The 21585-nt window shown below is 43.7% G+C and overlaps 2 protein-coding genes and 1 pseudogene across 5 annotated transcripts in view, besides 1 other annotated feature; 1 reads left to right on the top strand and 2 right to left on the bottom strand.

The window, feature by feature from the left end:
- The window catches only part of LRCH2 (leucine rich repeats and calponin homology domain containing 2), a 123481-nt gene that overhangs the window by 23283 nt on the left and 78613 nt on the right, over positions 1-21585 (top strand). The gene's annotated exons all lie outside the window — the stretch shown is intronic.
- On the bottom strand, positions 12018-12415 carry RPL36P18 (ribosomal protein L36 pseudogene 18; annotated as a pseudogene).
- RBMXL3 (RBMX like 3) lies at positions 17946-21404 on the bottom strand. Its single transcript, NM_001145346.2, has one exon. It carries the CDS (start codon positions 21370-21372, stop codon positions 18169-18171), a length of 3204 nt encoding a protein of 1067 aa, NP_001138818.1. The 5' UTR covers positions 21373-21404; the 3' UTR covers positions 17946-18168.
- Positions 20781-21282: an enhancer, noted in NCBI's record as "H3K4me1 hESC enhancer chrX:114424095-114424596 (GRCh37/hg19 assembly coordinates)". NCBI's record gives its function as "activates a minimal SCP1, AML or CMV promoter by ChIP-STARR-seq in naive H9 embryonic stem cells {active_cell/tissue: H9 hESC(naive)}" and the evidence as "EXISTENCE:reporter gene assay evidence [ECO:0000049][PMID:30033119]".

The following is a 21585-nucleotide window of genomic DNA, read 5'->3' as shown; positions in this document are numbered from 1 at the left end:
TGATGCAAGAGGTAGGTTCCTATGGTCTTGAGCAGCTCCGCCTTTGTGGCTTAGCAGGGTACAGCCTCCCTCCTGGCTGCTTTCATAAGCTGGCACTGAGTGTCTGTGGCCTTTCCAGGTGCATGGTGCAAGCTGTCGGTGGATCTACCATTGTGGGGTCTGGAGGATGGTGGCCCTCTTCTCACATCTCCACTAGGCCGTGCCCCAGTGGGGACTTTGTGTGGGGCCTCTGACCCCACATTTCCTTTCTGCACTGCCCTAGCACAGGTTGTCCATGAGGTCCCTGCCCCTGCAGCAAAGTTCTGCCTGGACATACAGGCATTTCCATACATTCTCTAAAATCTAGCCAGAGGTTCCCAAACCTCAATTCTTGACTTCTGTGCACCTGCAGGCTCAGCACCACATGGAAGCTGCCAAGGCTTGGGGCTTGCACCCTCTGAAGCCACGGCCCAAGCTGTACCTTGGCCCCTTATAGTCATGCCTGGAGTGGCTGGGACACAGGGCAACAAGTCCCTAGCCTGCACACCACACAGGGGCCCTGGGACTGGCCCACGAAACCATTTTTTCATCCTAGGCCTTCAGTCCTGTGATGGGAGGGGCTGCTGTGAAGACCTCTGACATGCCCTGGAGACATTTTCCCCATTTTCTTGGGGATTAACATTCGGGTCCTGGATACTTATGCAAATTTCTGTAGCCAGCTTGTATTTCTCCTCAGAAAATGGGATTTTCTTTTCTATCACATTGTCAGGGTGCAAATTTTCCAAACTTTTATGCTGTTTCCCTTTTAAAACTGAGTGCTTTTAACGGCACCTAAGTCACCTCTTGAATGCTTTGCTGCCTAGAAATTTCTTCCACCAGATACTCTAAATCATCTCTCTCAAGTTCAAAGTTCCACAGATCTCTAGGGCAGGGGCAAAATGCCACCAGTCTCTTTGCTAAAACAAAACAAGAGTGTCACCTTTGCTCCAGTTCCCAACAAGTTCCTCATCTCCATCTGAGATCACCTCAGCCTGGGTTTCATTGTCCATATCATTATTAGCATTTTGGTCAAAACCATTCAACAGGTTTCTAGGGAGTTCCAAACTTTCCCACATTTTCCTGCCTTCTTCTGAGCCCTCTGAACTGTTCCAACTTCTGCCTATTACCCAGTTCCAAAGTCACTTCCACATTTTTGGGTATCTTTTCAGCAGTGCCCCACTCTACTGGTACCAATTTACTGTATTAGTTCATTTTCATGCTACAGATAAAGACATACCCAAGACTGGGCAATTTACAAAAGAAAGAGGTTTATTGGACTTACAGTTCCATGTGGCTGGGGAAACCTCACAGTCATGGTGGAAGGTAAAAGGCACATCTCACATAGTGGCAGACAAGAGAATAGAGCTTGTGCAGGGAACCTCCCCTTTTTAAAACCATCAGATCTTGTGAGACTTATTCACTATCATGAGAAAAGCATGGGAAAGACTTGCCCCTGTGATTCAATTAACTCCCACCAGGTCCCTCCCACAACACGTGGGAATTCAAGATGAGATTTTGGTGAGGACACAGCCAGACCATATCAGTATGTTAAATGAGAAACAGTAACTAGCTTACAAAATTGTTAAAAGGATTAGAAATAATCTATGCAAAGTGCACAGTACTGTGATCTAGCATATAGGGTGTATGTGTATAATATTTGCCTCAATTCCACTTAGGTTATTCTTGATGTGAATTTAGAGTTCTGATTTCAAGTTATTTCTCCATTAACTCCCATGTTCCTTCAAGCAGACAATTCTATGGTGATTACTCTAATGATGAAGATGTGTTCAAACAGCACACTTCATTATTAGGAATTTTATCAGAGGTAAAAATCACATGGCCCTCTCCTTAATGTGTCTGTTTAATTTCCCTCTGCTTTCCTCTTATAAGGATACACGTGATGGCATTTTTAGGGCCAGAGATAAAAGTGTGTCAGGCTTTCAAATATTACCTAGGATTTTTTTAAAAGGAGAGACTATGGTAATCTATATTATTAAACAGCACTTAAACTTAAGTTTAACAATTTGTGCAAAAAACTCTCTCTACCCGTTTATACACTGAATAAGATAAGACTAAGACTATAATTAGTATAGTATAATAGTATAATTTCTGAAAGTCATTTTGTATATTTGGCAGAAATGGTAGCCAGTGGGCCAGGAATTTCAATGGGCCGCAGATAGACCAATCTGTGGCTCTGTGGGTGCAGCTTGGGAGACAGCAGATTTCCATTCCATCTGACTCCTCTCCTTCTTCTCTAGCTTCCTTGACCTCTGAAGCTCAAGAGTGATACAGAACATAATTTAGATTGGGTTACTTAAGATTATTGACCAAGATCTCTAATAGACTGCCAGCAGTTTTACAAGGAATGTCTTGAAGGAAGGCAGGAAACAGGACACAGCAATCTGTCTACTGTTGATTTACTGCCAATACTGGATTTTATGATTAAAAATGAGACAAGAAAAACAGCTTAGTGGTTATAAAGGTGCTTATCCCTTTGGATGCTAATTAACTGAGATATCGATACTGCACAAGAAAAAAATACACAGCTATGTAATTAAAAAATATTTACAATCATTCTCTTATTAATTCCAATAAACTATCATTATGGTATATATTAGTTTCTTGTGCCTGCCATAACAAATTATCACAAACTTAATAGTTTAAAAAAAAGAAAATTAGTCTCTCACAGGTTTGGAGACTGAAAGTTAGAAACAAATTTAATTGAGCTAAAATCAAGGTTTTGGCAGGGCCGCACTCCCTATGGGGAGGCTCTAGGGGAGAATCCATTCCTTGCTTCTTCCAGCTTCTGATGGCTACTGGCATTGTGTGGCACAATTATTCCAGTGGCTGCCTCCTTCTCCACATGGCCCCCTCTTCAGTCTGTCTGGTTTACCCTCTGCTTTCCTCTTATAAGGATACCTGTGATGGCATTTAGGGTCCACATGGATGATGCAGGCTAATCTCATCACAAGACTCTTAATTACATCTGTAAAACCTTTAGCATATAAGATAACACTCACAGATTCCAGAATTAGGGTCTGATATCTTTGAGGGCCACCATTCAGCCTACAACAGGAAGATAAATACACATTTTAATGTCCTTTTTTATGTGGAAAAGGTGAACCATTTTTATAATTGTCTTTTCCCAAGTGCTGTTTGTTGCCTAAGAAGGTAGGCTTTGAAATTGTTGTGAAGTGAATCTCCCACGGAGGAATAAGTGAGCAGTTTTCCGATTTTTATTTATTTTTATTTTTTGAAAAAGACAGGGTCTCACTGTCACCCAGGCATGAGTGCAGTGGCATGATCATGGCTCACTGCAGCCTCAACCTCCTGGGCTCAAACCATCCTCCCACCTCTTAGCCTCCCGAGTAGCTGGAACTACAGGCATGCACCATGCCCAGCTACTTTTTGTATTTTTTTGTAGAGATAGGGTTTCGCCATATTGCCCAGGCTGGTCTGGAACACCTGGGCTCAAATGATCCTCCCACCTGGGCCTCCCAAAGTGTTGGGATTACAGGCATGAGCCACCGACTGCACCCAGCTGTTTTTTTTTCCCCCGATTTTTAGGTGGAATTTTTATTTATTTAATTTTTTGCTGGAACTCAGTTAAAATACCAGTTTTGCATGTATTTCTCAATTATTTGTTCATTATTAGTCATATTTTATTTTTCTAGTTGCCCTAGTATACATGTTAATTGATTTTTAATGTTTAAAAAGCTCCTTTATTGTATATCACAAGATAAACATTTTAAATCAGTTTAAATTTTATTAATTATAGCTATATAAAAGTTAATCTTCACTTTTTTGATGGAAAATATGAGATGCTGTTAGTGTGAGATAGTTCAAGAAATTAAGATACAAATAGTTTTATGTTATTTCCCATTTTTCTTTCCAAGGTTGAGTTTTTTTTTTTTTTTGGCACTGTTATTGTATTTACCCAATGCTTAGGATGTTTATACTGATTTTAAATCTGAAACACCTAAGAATTAGATTTTGCTGAGACCAGCTCAGTTGTGGAGACCCTAACCCAGCGGCGCTAGAGGAATTAAAGACACACACACAGAAATATAGAGTGTGGAGTGGGAAATCAGGGGTCTCACAGCCTTCAGAGCTGAGAGTCTTGAACAGAGATTTACCTGCATATTTACTGACAGCAAGCCAGTGATAAGCATTGTTTCTATAGATTATAGATTAACTAAAAGTATTCCTTATGGGAAACAAAGGGATGGGCTGAAATAAAGGGGTGGGTCTGGCTAGTTACCTGCGATAGGAGCATCTCCTTCAGGCACAGATCGCTCATGCTATTGTTTGTGGTTCAGGAACACCTTTAAGCGGTTGTCTGCCCTGGGTGGGCCAGGTGTTCCTTGCCCTCATTCCGGTAAACCCACAACCTTCCAGTGTGGGCGTCAATGCCATCACAAACATGTCACAGTGCTGCAGAGATTTTGTTTATGGCCAGTTTTGGGGCCAGTTCATGGCCAGATTTGGGGGCCTGTTCCCAGCAAGATTTATTATTCTTTATTTAACTCCATTAAATTAGAATAATAATTATAATTTTAAGTGGTGTTTACTAAATAAATACATGAAATCATCCAGAAAATAGTTTATGAATGCACATTTAATTAAATTCCCTGAGGGAGCTTCTAATATTACTTTGTAATTTAACTAAATAATCTTTTATTTGGAGGGGAACGAACATAAAGAAGCATGAAAAATGTGTAGATTAGTAATGTCTTGATATTATTTAAATCATTAAATTATTCTTGTTATTAATACTGATGTTTTAGTATATTTTTCTGTCCCTTTTTGGTAGTTTATTTGCCTTTTTATTTCATTTTTTTTTGCATTTTTTTTTGTGAGACAGAGTTTTGCTCTTTTTGCCCAGGCTGAAGTGCAATGGCGTGATCTCGGCTCACTGCAACCTCCGCCTCCCAGGTTCAAGTGATTTTCCTGCCTCAGCCTCCCAAGTAGCTGGGATTATAGGTGCTTGCCACTATGCCTGGCTAATTTTTTGTATTTTTAATAGAGACAGGGTTTCACCATGTTGGCCAGGATGGTCTCGATTTCTTGACCTTGTGATTCACCTGCCTCGGCCTCCCAAAGTGCTGGGATTACAGGCGTGAGCCACCATGCCCAGCTGACTTTTTATTTCATATGTTATTTTTCAGAAGTTTTAGGTTTACAAAAAAATTGAGCAGATAGTACAGGTACCCCATACTCCTTTTCTCCAGCTCATAGTTTTCCTATTTTTAGCATCTTACATTTTTGTAATGTATTTTTTACAATTAATGAACCAATATATGGTACACTTGATGATGATGAAAATTGATGAAGCTATACTTTATTATTAAAGTCTGTACATTAGGATTCAGTCTTTGTGTTGTATAGTTGTATGTGTTTTGACAAATGCATGTGTCATGTATGCATCATCACAGTATCACATAGAAGAGTGTAACTGCCCTGAAAATTCTGTGATCCATGTATTAATCACTCTTTGATATGGTTTAGCTCTGGGTCCCCACCCAAATCTCATATTGAATTGTAACCACTATGTGTCAGGGGAGGGACCTGGTAGGAGGTGATTGGATCATGAGGGTGGTTTCCCCGATGTTGTTCCCATGATAGTGAGTTCTTATGAGATCTGATGGTTTATAAGTGTGTAGCATTCTCCTCCTGCCCTCTGCCTTGTGAAGAAGGTGCTTGCTTCTTCTTCACCTTCCACCATGATTGGTTTCCTAAGGCCTCCCCAGCCATGTAGAATTGTGTGTCAATTAAACCTCTTTTCTTTATAAATTACCCAGTCTCAGGTGGTTTTATATAGCAGTGTGAGAATGGACTAATACAGAAAATTGGTACTAAAGAAGTGGGGCATTGCTATAAGGAAACTTGAAAATATGGAAGCAACTTTGGAACTGGGTAATGGGCAGAGGTTGGAACGGTTTGGAGGGCTCAGAAGAAGACAGGAATATATGGGAAAGTTTGGAACTCTCTAGAAACTTGTTGAATAGTTATGACCAAAATGTGATAGTGATATGAACAACGAAATCCAGGCTGAGGTGGTCTCAGATGGAGATGAGGAACTTACTGGGAACTGAAGTAAAGGTCACTCTTGCTATGCTTTAGCAAGGAGACTGATGGCATTTTGCTCCTGCCCTAGAGATCTGTGGAACTTTGAACTTAAGAGACATGATTTAGGGTATCTGGCAGAAGAAATTTCTAAGTAGCAAAGCATTCAAGATGTGACCTGGCTGTTTCTGAAAGTGTTCAGTCATATGCATTCACAAAGAGATGGTCTGACATTGGAACTTATGTTTAAAAAGGAAGAAAAGCATAAAAGTTTGGAAAATCTGCAGCCTATATGGTGGAAAAGAAAAACCCATTTACTGGGAAGTAATTCAAGCCCGCTGCAGAAATTTGCATAAGTAAAAAGGAGCCAAATGTTAATTGCCAAAAGAATGGGGAAAATGTCTTCAGGGCATTTCAGAGATCTTCATGACAGCCCTTCCCATCACAGGCCTGGAGGCCTAGGAGGGAAAAATGGTTTCATGGGCTGGGCCCAGGGCCCTACTGCTCTGTGCAGCCTCATGACATGGTTCCCTGTGTCCCAGCCACTCCAGCTTCAGCTGTGGCTAAAAGGGGCCAAGGCACAGCTCATAATGTTGCCTCAGAGGGTGCAAGCCTCAAGCTTTGGTGGCCTCCACATGGTGTTGGGCCTGTGGGTGCTTAGAAGACAAGAGTGGAGGTTTGGGAACCTCTGCCTGGATTTCAGAAGCTGTATGGTAATGCCTGAACGTCCAGGCAGAAGTCTGCTGCAGGGCCAGAGCCCTCATGGGTAACCTCTACTAGGGCAGTGTAGAGGGGAAATGTGGGGTTGGAGACTCACACAGAGTCCCCATTGGGGCAGTGCCTAGTGAAGCTGTGAGAAGATGGCCACTATCCTCCATACCTCTAGACTGACAGTTTGTACCGAGCACCTGGAAAAGCTGCAGGCTCTCAATGCCATCCCCTGAAACCAGCGACGGGGGCTATACCCTGAAGAGCCACAAGGGTAGAGCTACGCAAGGCCTTGGGAACCCACCCCTTCCATCAGTGTGCTCTGGATGTGAGGCATGGATTGAAAGAAGATTATTTTGGAACTTTAAGCTTTAATGACTTCCCCATTGTATTTTGGACTTGCATGGGGCCTGAGGCCCTTTGATTTTGGCCAATTTCCCCCATTTGGAACGTGTGTATTTACACAATGCCTGTACCCCCATTGTATATAGGAAGTAACTAACTTGATTTTACAGGCTCATAGGCAAAATGGGACTTGCCTTGTCTCAGATGAGACTTTGGAGTTGGACTTTTGACTTAATGCTGGAATTAGTTAAGACATTTGGGGACTGTTGAGATGGAATTTTGCAAATGTGTTGCAGTGTGATAAGGAAATGAGATTTGGGAAGGGCTGTGGCAGAATGATATGGTTTAGCTCTGTGTCCCCACTCAAGTCTCATATTGAATTATAATTGCCATGTGTCAGGGGAGGGACCTGGTGAGAAGTGATTGGATCATGAGAGTGGTTTCCCTCATGCTGCTCTCATGATAGTGAGTGAGTTCTTACAAGATCTGATGGTTTATAAGTGTGTGGCAGTTCCCCTGCCCTGCCTGCCATCTTGTGAAGAAGGTGCTTGCTCTTCCTTTGCCTTCTGCCATGATTGTAAGTTTCCTGAGGCCTCCCAGCTATGTGGACTGTGAGTCAATTAAACCTCTTTTCTTTATAAATTACTCAGTTTCTGGTAGTTCTTTACAGCAGTGTGAAAATGGACCAATACTCTCTTCCTCTTCCCTTATTCCCTCTTTTCCTCCCAAATTATGGCAACCATTGATCTTTCTACTACCACCATAGTTTTACCCTTCCCAGAATGATATTTACTAGGAATCCTAGCATATGTAGACATTTCAGACTGGCTTCTTTCAAGAAGCAATATATGTTAAGGTCTCTCCATTTCTTTTCATGGCTTGAAAGCTTGTTTCCTGGAAGCTATTCCATTGTATGGATATTCCACAGTTTATCCATTAACCTATTGAAAGATGCATCTTGTTTGCTTCTAAATTTTGACAATTATGAATAAGGCTGCTATAAATGTTAGTGTGAAGACTTTGTGTAGACATTAGTTTTGAACTTATTTGAGTAAATACCCAGGCTTGCAATTGCTGAATTAAGACCATATTTATCTTTGTAAAAGCATACCAGACTGTCTTCCAGTGTGGCTGTTCTTGTTTTTTCACTAAAAATTTATTTATATAATTTATGGCATACAAGTGCAAATTTATTACATGCATAGTAGTCAAGTTAGGGGATTCAGAGAATCTGTCACCCAAATAACATACATTGTACCCATTAAGTAATTTCTTATTATATACCCCTCTCCCACTCTCTCACCCTTCTGAGTCTCCATTGTCTATCACTCTGCTCTCTATATCTATGTATACACCATTTTTTAGCATTCACTAAAAAATGAGTGAGTGACAACATGTGATATTTTTCTTTCTGTGTCTGGTTTGTTTCACTTAAGATAATGACCTTCAGTTCTATCCATGTTGCTGCAAAAGACCAATGCTTTGGCTATTTGGACTCTTTTTTGGTTCTATATGAATTTTATGATTGTTTTTTCTAATTCTGTGAAAAATGATGTTGGTATTTTGGTAGGGATTGCATTGAACCTGTAGATTGCTTTGGGCAGTATGGTCATTTTAACAATATTAATTCTTCTGATCCATGAGCATGAGATATCTTTCCATTTGTTTTTGTCATCTTCAATTTCTTTCATCTGTGTTTTATAGTTTTCCTTGTAGAGATCTTTAACCTCTTTGGTTAAATTTATTCCTAGGTATTTTATTTTCTGGTAGGTGTGGTAAATAGGATTGACTTCTTGATTTCATTCTCAGTGAGATCATTATTGGTATTTAGAAATGCTACTGTGTTTTATATGTTAATTTTTGTATCCTGAAACTTTATCAAATCTAAGAGTTTTTTGGTGGAGTCTTTAGGTTTTTCTAGATATAAGATGATATCGTCAGCAATCTGCGATACTTTCACTTCCTCTTTTTTGATTTGGATGTGTTTTATTTCTTTCTCTTGCCCGATTGCTCTGGCTAGGACTTCCAGTACTATATTCAATAACAATGGTGAAAGTGAGCATCTTTGTCTTGTTTTAGATCTTAGTTGGAAGGCCTTCAGCTTTTCCCCATTCAGTATGATACATGGGTTTGTTGTATATGGCCTTTATTTTTTTCAGGTATGTTCCTTCTATGCCTAGTTTGTTGAGGGTTTTTTTACCATGAAGGGAAGCTTAACCTTATCAAATGCATTTTCTGCATCTATTGAGATGATCATATGTTTTTTGTCCTAATTTTGTTTATGTGATGTATCACATTTATTAATTTGCATATATTCAACCATCTTTGCATCCTTGGTATAAAACCCACTTGATCATGGTGTATGATATGGTTTGGCTCTGTGTCCCCACCCAGATCTCATCTTATAGCTCCCATAATTCCTATGTGTTGTGTAAGGGATCTGGTGGGAGATGGTTGAATCATGGGGGTGGGTCTTTCTTGTGCTGTTCTTGTGACAGTGAATGAGTCTCATGACATCTGATGGTTTCAAAAACGGGAATTTCCCTACACAGGCTCTTTGCCTGCCACCATTCATGTAAGATGTGACTTGCTCCTGCTTGCCTTCCACAATGATTGTGAGGCCTCCCCAGCCATTTGGAACTGTAAGTCCAATAAACCTCTTTGTTTTGTAAATTGCCTAGTCCCAGGTATGTCTTTATCAGCAGCATGAAAATGAACTGATACAGTGCATTATCTTTTTGATGTCCTGTATTCAATTTACTAGTATTTTGTTGAGGATTCTTGCATGTATGTTCATCAGGGATATTGGTCTGCTGTTTTCCTTTTTTGGTTGTTGTGTCCTCGTCCAGTTTTGGTATTAGGGTGATAGTGGCCTCATGGAAAGAATTAGGGAGAATACTCTCCTCTTCAATTTTTTGGAACAGTTTCAGGAGGAGCGGTATTCCTTCTTTTTATATTTGATAGAATTTGGCTGTGAATCCCTCAGCCAAGCTCCCTCAACAATCCCTGAGCTTGTCTTTATTGGGATTTTTTTTTTTTTTACTACTGATTCAGTTTTGCTCTTCATTATTGGCCTGTTTAGATTTTCTATTTCTTCCTTGTTCAATCTTGGTAGGTTGTATGTTTCCAGGAATTTATCTCTTTCCTCTAGGTTTTCTTGTTTGTTGAGTATATAGTTGTTCATAATAGTTTCTGATGATCTATTGTGTTTCTGTGGTATCAGTTGAAATATTTCCTTTTTTATTTCTCATTGTGTTTATTTGGTTCATCTCTCTTCTAGGTTAGTCTAGCTACTGGTTTATCAGATTTATTTATCTTTTTGAAGAATCAACTCTTTGTTTTTTTAATACTTTGTATTTCTTTGGTCCCTATTTCATTTAGTTCTACTGTGATCTTTGTTATTTCTTCTGCTAGTTTTGAGTGTGGTTTGTTCTTGATTTTCTAGTTTTTTGAGATGCATTGTTAGGTTGATAATTTGTAATCTTTCTTTTTTTTGATAATAGGCATTTAATGCTACAAATTTCCCTCTTACCACTGCTTTTGCTATATCCCACAGGTTTTGGTTTGTTGTGTTTCCATTTTCATTTGTTTCAAAAAATTTTTAATCTTTTGTATTAATTTCTTCTTTGATCCAATGATTGTTCAGGAGCTTGTGTAATATCCATGTGTTTGTATCGTTTCTGAAGTTCCTTTTTGTATTGATTTCTATTTATTCCACTGTGTTATGAGAAAATAATTGATAGGATTTCATTTTTAAACATTTGTTGATACTTGTTTTATGGCCTAACGTGGTTTATCTTGGAGAATGTTCCATGTGCTCATCGAAAGAGTGTATATTCTGCAGTTGTTGGGCAGAATGTTCTGTAAATTTGTTAGGTCCATTTGGTGTAAAGTCCAATTTATATCTAATGTTTCTTTGTTGGTTTCCTACCTGGATGATCTGTCTAATGCCGTGAGTGGTGCGTTGAAGTCTCCCACCATTATTGTATCTGTCTATCTCTCTCTTTAGGCCTAGTGATATTTGTTTTATGGATCTGGGTGCTCCAGTGTTGGGTGCATATACATTTAAAATTGTTATAGCCTCTTGCCAGATTGATCCCTTTATTACAGAATGAAGTTCTTTGTCTTTTTTAACCGTCTTTTATTTAATATCTGATTTAATTGATGCAAGTACAGCTAGTGCTGCTCACTTTTGGATTTTGTTTGTGTGGACTGTCTTTCTATTCCTTTACTTTTGGTCTATATGTGTCTTTACAAGTAATGTGAGTTTCTTGTAAGCATCATATAGTTGGATTATGTTTTTAAAATCTATTTTGCCAATCTATATCTTTTAAATGGGGCATTTAATTCATTTATTTTCAAGGTTTATATTGATATATGTGAGGGTTTGTTCTTGTCGTATTGTTAATTGTTTTCTAGTTTTATAAATTCTCTGTTTCTTTTTCTTGGAATGTTTGCCTTTGGTTTGGTGGAATTCTGTAGTGGTGCCATTTGATTCCTTTTTCTTCCTCCTTTGTGTGATTACTTTACCAGTGAGTTTTATACTTTTGTGTGTTTTTATGATGATGAATATCGCTTTTACTTCCACGTTTAGGACTTCTTTGAGCATTTCTTGTAGGGCCAGTTTAGTGGCGATGAATTCCTCAGCATTTGCTTGTCTCTGAAAGACTTCATTTCTTCTTATTTATGAAGCTTATTGCTGGATATTGAGTTCTTGGCTGGCAGTCTTGGTTTTTTTTATTTCAGCATTTTTAATATGTCATTCCCTTCTCTTCTGGCTTTTAAGGTTTCTGGTGAGAAGTCTCATGTTAGTCTAATGGAGTTTCCTTATGTAGGTGACAGGGTGCTTTTCTCTTGCTGATTTTATTTTATTTTATTTTTTCTGTGAAGCTGTTCTTTATTTCAGGGAGAGGACAGGACAGGGAGCTCAGTCTTTCATAGCAGCAACTTTCCTCGTGATGGCCAGGACATTGCTCAGCTCCTCCCGCTTCCTCTTGGTGTGGATGTGTGTCCCCACCCTTTTCTTGATGAACTTGAGGGCTTGTTTGTCCTTGGAGACCTTCAGTAACTCCATGGTGCACCGCTCGTATGGGGTGAAGCCACATACCTCTTGGATCATGCCCCGCACACACTTGGTGTGTTTGGTCGGGCGCCCAAGGCTACGACTGTGTCTGGGCTTGCTCAAATTCTTGGTCAACTTGTGGCCCTTGTTGAGGCCCACGACCATAGTGTAGCACAGAACCATTGCTGCTGCTCTGCAATGGTGGCTGTGGTGGAATGCTGTCTTGCTGATTTTAGAATTCTTTTTACTTTAGACAGTCTGATTATAATATGCTGTGGCAAACTCCTTTTTGCATTGTGTTTTCCTGGGAATCACTGAGTCTCCTGTGTCTGGATGTCTAAATCTTGCTATACTTGGAAAAGTTTCGTTTCTTATTTTGTTAAATAGGCTTTCTAAGCCTTTTAATCTCTCATATCCCTCAGGAATACCAATAATTTGTAAGTTTGGTCATTTTATGCAGTCTCAATTGGCACATGTATACCTATGTAACAAACCTGCATGTTCTGCATGTGGATCCCAGAACTTAAAGTATAATAAAAAAATAAAATAAAGCAATAAGCAAGTTCAAAAAAAAAAAAAAAGAAAAAGCTTTGTTCATTCTTTTTCTTTATTTTTGTCTGACTGGATTATTTCAAAAGACCTGTCTTCAAGTTCTGAAATTCTTTCTTCTGCTTGATCTAGTATTTCAAATGTATTTTGTATTTTCTTCAATGAATCCTTTAGTTTCGGAATGTGTGTGTGTGTGTGTGTGTGTGTGTGTGTGTGTGAGAGAGAGAGAGAGAGAGAGAGAGAGAGACTTGTTCTGTTGCCCAGGCTGGAGTGTAGTAGAGAGCGAGAGTGAGAGAGAGAGAGAGAGAGAAAGAGAGAGAGAGACTTTTTCTTTTGCCCAGGCTGGAGTGTAGTGGTGTGATCATAGCTCAGTATGACCTCAAACTTTTGGACTCAAGTGATCCTCCTGCCTCAGCTTCCTGAGTAGTTGGGATTACAAGCATGTGCCACCACGCCTAGCTAATATTTGTATTTTTAGTAGAGACAGGTTCTCTCTATGTTGCCCAAGCTGGTCCTAAACACCTGGGCTCAAGCAGTCCTCTTACCTCGGCCTCCCAAAGTGCTGAGATTGTAGGTGTTAGCCACCACACTCGGGCTTTTTATCTTTTAAAGATATTTATCTCCATGTTATAAGTTTTTATTTGTATTCTGAATTGATTTTCTGAGTTCTTTGTATTGGTTTTTAGATTTCTCTGGCATCTCATTGAGCTTCTTTAAAATCAATGTTTTGAATTCTTTATCTGGGATTTTGAGGATTTTTTTTTCTTTTTTGGTTAGGATCTACTGCTGGAGAATTATTACATTCATTTGAGGCCATAATATTACTTAGCTTTTTCATGTTTTCTGTATCTTTATGTTGGTTTCTGCTCATCTGGCTTCATAGTTACATCTTTTTAAAAAAATAACTTTCACGTGGATGGGGGACTTTTTTCTTGAAGATATGACAATGATGTTCGTTGGGTAAGGCCTTCTGGCTTTGCTTCCAGGTGCATGCAGTAGTGAAGACTCTGTATAATTTGTATGGCTATCCTTATTCTGTTAATGTGTTGTTCTTGGTGGGGCCTGTGGTGAAGTTGTGCTTGTGACTGGAATGCCTGATGGGCCCATCATCAGGTTGTAATGGTAGCAGAGGTGTGCTAAGTATGTCTATCCTTGTGACCTGGGACAGCATATGCTGGCTCCTGTGTTGGCAGTTTCCAGGCAGGCTCATGTTTGGGCATCTGGGTGGCTTCCTCAGATGCCAGTTTTAGTAGCAGTATACCAGGCAGATAAGCAGGCTCTCAAGCTCCTGAGCAGTTGGAGTAGTGTGGGTGATAGAGGTAGCAGTGGTGGTGAGATAGTCTCCTTGTTCCCATGCACTGTGCTCTTGTGTTGGAAGTGGTTGCAACAGGCTGTGCAAACTGGCTTCTAGGCCAGAAGGTGGTGCTTTCAGGTAAGAGCCAGCTGAGACTGTAGAAGCAGGGTGTTTATGCTCAGTCTCTGTCCCCTTGGTGCTCATGTGCCCCTGGTGGTAGATTGGGTTGTGGAACACCCAGAACCTGGCCCCCACAGTTCATGTTGGCATAGGGTTAGGAGGGTGAAGCTGGGTGGATCCAGACTGGGCAAGCTTGTACTCAACACCTCCCAATGGCAAGTGCGTGCATGAGCCATGATGTGGGGGTGGGGCAGGCAGTGTAGTCGTCATGCCCCTGGTGAAATGCTTGGGTGAGAGGTGACTGCTGCTGTGCTGAGGTCCTGCCATGGGTGCCAGGGAGGATGAGACCACTGCTGTCCCTCCCTCATCCCATCTGTGGCAGCCAACCTGGCTGTTCTGTTAGTATGGCAGTTTGCACCCAGCCCATAATTCAGCCATGAGCCATAGAAGCCAGCACCCAGCTCAAGACCAAGCCTCTGCAGTAACTCATCCTGCTCAGGATTGGAGCATTGGGAGCCTGGTTCCAGTGCCAGAGGCTGGAGCCCATGCCATGTCCGTTTCTTAGTTTTGATTGTGGGATTCCCCATTGATCCCCATTCCTGCTCAAGCCCCTGCTCCACAAGATGCAACCTGATCTTCCCCAATGGCCAAGACTGGTGCTGCAGATTCCCAGGACCACTCATAGTTTGCTAAGAGCTAGGATTAAGAATCGCATCTTACTGTGGCTACTTAGTTCTCAGGAATTGTGTGGGACCCAGGGCATGTTGCCTCCTTGAAGCAGTTCCTTCTCACAGTCTCTTGGATGCTCCCTAAATCAGATTCAGGATTTGGGTGGGTCAGGGTGCTCTGCTGTGGCCTGGACTGTATGATTCCCCAGTGGGAAAGTGGACTGCAGAAAGATACTCACTCACTCTCTCTTAGGGATTCATTGCCAGTTCCCAGCCGGTCTTGACCACGACAGGCTGTCTGCTTTTCTTCTCATTCCCAGATTTTGGAGTTTCCTTTCACTTTTTCTGTTGAACCCTGTGTTCCCTGTTGGGTAATGTATTCAAAGTGTGATTGTCTACATACCACTTTGGTTTTTCTAAGTGGATGAGGTGTGCTGGAAATGTTTTTAGTCAGCTATCTTGGAAAACAAAGGTCATCCTCCTGTCACTTTTTGAACTTCTTTGGTTACTGTGTTTTCTCATGACTATTATTTTCAGCCTTCTCTGCTTGCTGTTTTTTCTCTACTCACTAAGTGTTGGCCTTCCTGATAGCCCATTCTTGATCTCTCTAATTCAATACTCTGATATTAGGTGATGCCTTCCATTTCTGTGATTTAATAGAACTAACCATATTCCTACAACTTTCAATTTTTTTTTTTTTGAGATGGAGTCTCACTCTGTCACTCAGGCTGGAGTGCAGTGGCACGATCTCGGCTCACTGCAATCTCTGCCTCCCGGGTTCAAGCAATTCTCCTGCCTTGGCCTCCTGAGTAGCTGGAATTACAGGCGTGCGCCACCACGTCTGGCTAATTTTTGTATTTTTAGTAAGAGACGGGGTTTCACCATATTCTTCAGGCTGGTCTTGAACTCCTGACCTTGTGATCCGCCCACCTCGGCCTCCCAAAGTGCTGGGATTATAGGCATGAGCCACTGTGCCTGGCCACAACTTTCAATTTTATATATCCATCCCAGACTTCACTTAGGAGATCAAGATTCATCTGTCTAATGCCCATTTAACAGCCCCTCTTTGAGTCTCTCTCAGATGTCTCGGTTTATACAGATATAAACTTGAACCCTTCATTGCACCTCTGTTTCAAAAAAGCAAAAACCTCACCAGTAGAAGAAGCTACAAAAATCCTGTTACACTCCCACTGTTTATTAGATATTATTATTTTAGCTGTCCAGGCCAGAATCCTGGGTGCCATTCTTGATTCTTTCCTCTCATTTCTTCCACATACCTAGCTCTTTGCCATCCCCTATGAGTACTAATTTCAAAATATATTTCAAATTTTATCCATTTTCTCTTAACCCTATTCTTGCAATCTTAATACAAGTTACTATCGTCTAATCTCTGAGACCACTATATTATTTATGAGTACTTAATACTAGGTATTATACAGAATAACAAACTGGGCATGATTTTGTTTTTAGGATTTCAAATTACTTGTAAACAGTAATTTTGAACTCCCAGAATTCTGAAGTTACAAGAATAAGAGGTAAAACCCTAAATATAAAGAAACATATCCTAAACTAAAAACAGTGACTTCACTTTCTTCCCCAATAGAACTGTGTGATGCTTGGGTATCCAGAGGAGGTAAGCCAGAATATTGGGAAACATTTATTTCTAGTTTAGATTTTGGTTTCTAGTAATTCTATTGTTTTTTTAGTTATTCAGAATTTTATGGTGGGAGGAGGAAGAATAGAAATTTTCATATTATATAAACATAGCTATTTTTTGCCAGTTATACAATTTTACATAAGGTTAAGAATGAGAATATATATCTCTCTCCTTCTCTATATGTATCTCTATATATTACATATATAGTAATGCATATGTTAATGTTCTGAATAAGGAATTTACTATATTGCTAAGTGAATAGGCCTCATCCCTTGGAATGAGGAAGTTGAGCATTACTGAGAGGAGGTTGTTTTTATGAGGGCAGACCAGATGCTAAATGAGGTACATTGAGCTAGGCTGGATGCTCTTCCTGACAGAGGCACAAAATTTTCTTACATTTTTAACTAAATAAGTATGAGCTAGTGTGAGCAAAGTAAATTTCTATGATAAGGTAACTAACTTGATAGTTACTCAGGTAGTTTTTGGGGGTTTGCACCTTTGGGGACATTATTTGTCTGCCATGAATAGAGGTTGTTGCTGGCATCTAGTGGGTAGATGCCAGAGATGCTGCTAAATATCCTACAGTGCCCAGGATAGCCCCCTACAATGGTTATCCAGACCAAAAAGGTCCACAGTGGTGGGGTTGAGCAACTCTCTTCTAGAGTATTTATTTTTCAACCCACTGCTATAATGTCCTAAGTATTTTTCAAAATTTCATTTAACAAATAAACCCTTAATAGGAGTAATGGTTATAACGATTCCATGATTTTATTTTTGTGAAAATTTAAATGAATGGAAGTATATTTGTGTGTACTTGCAATAATTTAGGAGAGGAATGAATCAAGGATGAATACCAGGTTTCTGGCTTGAGCAACTCACCAGGAGGATGTTGTTGACATTGAGATGAGAAAAAAAAAATTGTGGGAAAAGATCTTCATTTCAGATGTTATATTTGTAGAATTTGAGGTGCCTGAGAGATATCAAGGTGAAGTCCTGAAGATCAGAACATAGGCTTTTAGACATATCCTTAATTTGCAATTCATCGGTATGTAAATATAATTTGGATCTAGGTTGGATGAAATCACCCAGTAGAGTATCTTTTTTTTTTCCATTTACTTTTCAGATTTACTGAGTGAACATAATTTTTCATAAACATTTGATCTAAATCATTTTTGTTGTTGTTGTTGCTGGTTGTTTGGTTTTTAATACTGGGAACACAGAGATTCAGTTTGAAAGATACCCTAAAATCTTAAGAGTAGTATACACCAATCCCTCCCACTCTCCACCCACAATCTAGTTGGTTTAAGTGAGCAGAATGATCCATTTTTCCATTTTAGGTGAGCAGATGTTTATGAAAGATCTTAGAACTGTTTGCCTCATTTATCAGGAACATTTACAAGGGAAGAAGCCATTAATCGTATTTCAACTTGTAAATAGAAGAAGACTAAGACTCAGGTTCATATCTTATACTTTTAACAAGAACTTGTTGAAAGAAACATTAACAATTTCAAACTAATTTTAAGTTTTTCCTCACAAAAGCATAAAAATGGAGATCTTAACAGGAAATTCTTAAAAGGTAAAAACAACTCCTACTTATACTAGTCCTTGGGTAGTTAACATAGAACAGGTTCTTCTTTTTGTTTCTTTGAAAAGGAATTTTTGGGCCCAAGTCTGTTCCTGCTTAGTATCTGCTCCGGCCTTCCCCCCTCTCGAAGCGGCCTCCTTGACGGCCTCCGCCCCTGGGCACCCTGCAGCCTGACCGGCTGTAAGAATCATGCAGGGGAGGGCTGCCCGTTTCCATGGGCAGAGGGAGCCCACGATCCGGTCTGCCTACCCGGTCTCGACCCCTCGAGTAGCGGTCGCTCCGGCCGTAACTGTTGCTGGATCTGTCGTGGTCGCCGCTGTAGGCGTCAGGCAAGCTGCCCTGGTACTCCTCGTAGTGGCCTCCTCCTCCGTAGCGGTCGCTCAGGCCGTAACTCTTGATGGAACTGTCGCGGCCCCCACTGTGGGCGTCAGGCGAGGGGCCTCGGTACTCCTCGTAGCGGCCTCCTCCTCCGTAGCGGTGGCTCCGGCCATGACTGTTGTTGGAACTGTTGAGGCCGCGGCCCCCGCCGTAGGCATTGGGCGAGCGGCCTTGGTATTCCTCGTAGCAGCCTCCTCTTCCGTAATGGTCACTCCGGCCATAGCTGTTGCTGAAACTGTCGCGGCCCCTGCTGTAGGCTTCGGTGTAGTGGTCCCCGCTGTGGGCATCGGGCGATCGGCCCCTGCTGTGGGTGTCGTGCGAGCGGCCTCGGTACTCTTCGTAGTGGCCTCCTCCTCCATAGCGGTGGCTCCGGTCGTAACTGTTGCTGGAACTGTCACGGCCCCCACTGTAGGCGTTGGGTGAGTGGCCTCCGCTGTTGGCATCGAGAGAGTGACCTCGGTTCTCCTCGTAGCGGCCTCCTCCTCTGCAGGGGTCGTTCCGGCTGGAACTGTTGTGGCCCCCGCTGTAGGCATTGGGTGAGCGGCCTCCGCTGTTGGCATCGAGCGAGCGGCCTCGGTACTCCTCGTAGCGGCCTCCTCCTCCGTAGCGGTGGCTCCGGCTGGAACTGTCATGGCCCCCACTGTAGGCGTCAGGCAAGCGGCCACTGCTGTTGGCATCGAGTGAGCGACCTCCTCCTCCATAGTGGTCGCTCTGGCTGGAACTGTCGTGGCCCCGGCTGTAGGTGTCAGGCGAGCGGCCTCCGCTGTTGGCATCAAGCGAGTGGCCTCGGTACTCCTCGTAGCGGCCGCCTCCTCCATAGCGGTTGCTCTGGCTGGAACTGTCGTGGCCCCCACTGTAGGCATCAGGCGAGCGGCCTCCACTGTTGGCATCGAGCAAGCGGCCTCGGTACTCCTCGTAGCGGCCTCCTCCTCCGTAGCAGTTGCTCTGGCCAGAACTGTCGTGGCCCCCACTGTAGGCATCAGGCGAGCGGCCTCCACTGTTGGCATCAAGGGAGCGGCCTCGGTACTCCTCGTAGCGGCCTCCTCCTCCGTAGCGGTGGCTCCAGCTGGAACTGTCGTGGCCCCCGCTGTAGGCATTGGGCGAGCGGCCTCCACTGTTGGCATCGAGGGAGCGGCCTCGGTACTCCTCGTAGCAGCCTCCTCCTCCGTAGCGGTTGCTCTGGCTGGAACTGTCGTGGCCCCCACTGTAGGCGTCGGCAGAGCAGCCCCCACTGTGGGCGTCATGCGAGCGGCCTCGGTACTCATAGCGGCCTTCTCCTCCATAGCGGTGGCTCTGGCCGTAACTGTTGCTGGAACTGCTGTGGCCCCCACTGTGGGTGTCGGGTGAACGGCCTCCGCTGTTGGCATCCAGAGAGTGGCCTCGGTTCTCCTCATAGTGGCCTCCTACTCCGTAGCGGTCGCTCCAGCTGGAATTGTCGTGGCCCCCACTGTAGGCCTCGGGCGAGCAGCCTCCACTGTTGGCATCCAGCGAGCGGCCTTGGTACTCCTCATAACGGCCTCCTCCTCCGCAGCAGTCGCTCCAGCTGGAACTGTCATGGCCCCCACTGTAGGCGTCGTCGGACCGGCCCCTGCTGTGGGCATCAGTGGAGCGGCCCCCGCTGCGGGCCTCGTGTGAGCGGCCTCGGTACTCCTCATAGCGGCCTTCTCCTCCATAGTGGTGGCTCTGGCCGTAACTGTTGCTGGAACTGTTGCGGCCCCCGCTGTGGGCGTCGGGCGAGCGGCCTCTGTACTCCTCGTAGCAGCCTTCTTCTCCGTAGCGGTCACTCCGGCTGTAACCGTTACTGGAACTGCTGCGGCCCCCACTATAGGCTTTGGGCGAGTGGTCCCTGCTGTAGGCGTCTGGCAAGACGACTGGCAAGGCCTCGGACGAGCGGCCTTCACTGCAGGCATCGGGCGAGTTGCCCTGGTACTCCTCGTAGCGGCATCCTCCTCCATAAGATGGCGGTGTCCCCCACACAGGGGCAGCGCCGCATGGGCCTCCGTAGCTCTTGAGGGGCTCTCGGTAGGAGCCTTTGCTGGGATGATCTGTGTACTCATGGTCGCGACCCCTGTAGCCATTTTGGTTGCCGTCGCCTCTCAAGGGACGGTAGTCCGGGACACTGGAGTGGCCATAATAGCGGCGGCTGTAGTCTCTGAGCGCAGGGACAAAATCCCCAGGGTCGCGGCACGGGGGCAGTGGCTCCCGGACCCGCGGGCCTGAGTAGCCATCTTGCCCCCACACGGCCGGGGCCTTCCCAGGCATTCCACTGCCGCCAATGCGAGCCAGGCTTGACCGGGGCACAGCCCTCTTGTGGGGTGGGCCGGCCCAGCGCCGTGGCTGCAAGCCTGAGTAGCCATCTTGCCCCGACACAGTCGGTGCCTTCCCGCGCATTCCACAGCCAACGCTGTGAGCCAGGCTCGACGGCGTGGCCCTCTTGTGGGGTGGGCTGGCCCAGTGCCGCGGTGGCGGCCCGCGCTTCCTGGGCATCGGGGCCCTGTAGGGCCACAGGTCGAAATACCCCGCGTAGCCGCGGCCGTCATCAGGCCTGCCCTGAGAGGGGGGTCGCTGTGGGCTGCTGCCACCCCCACGGGTTCTGTGTGAGAACCTTGAGCGACTGCCGCTGCCGGGGGTTGGCGGGACCCATCGGCTGCTCTTGAATGCCGGTTTGATGGTCTGGGCCACCATGATGGCCTTACCATCCAGGTACTTGCCGTTCATATCTCTGGCGGCAGCCTTGGCGTCTGCAGGGCTTTCGAAGGTGACGAACGCGAAGCCCCTCGACTTGTTGGTTTTTCGGTCTTTCATCAGGAACACCTTGATGATGTGGCCATACTTGCCAAACTCGGCTTTGAGGGCTTTCTCGTCGGTTTTGAGGTTGAGGCCCCCAATGAAAAGCTTCTCTGGGCGATCCGCTTCCATCATGTCTCCCTGCCGAATGGTGGGTCAGAGGAAGTGGGAAGTGATGACGCGGCAGTTCAGTCGCGGCCTTCGAGCGCTCTCGTGGAGGGCGGCTCCTACCGGTTGGGGGGGTGGATGTCTCAAGAAGGAAAAGAGTACCTTACGTCATAGTTCTTGGGAACACCAACGTCTATGATACAGGTAGAGGAAATCCTAGGAATAGAAAATAAGAAGTAG

The sequence above is a fragment of the Homo sapiens genome, chromosome X (assembly GCF_000001405.40).
Source record: "Homo sapiens chromosome X, GRCh38.p14 Primary Assembly".
NCBI classification, from domain to species: domain Eukaryota; kingdom Metazoa; phylum Chordata; class Mammalia; order Primates; family Hominidae; genus Homo; species Homo sapiens.
Note: the sequence above shows the minus strand (reverse complement) of the source record. Positions and strands in the feature narration are given on the sequence as shown.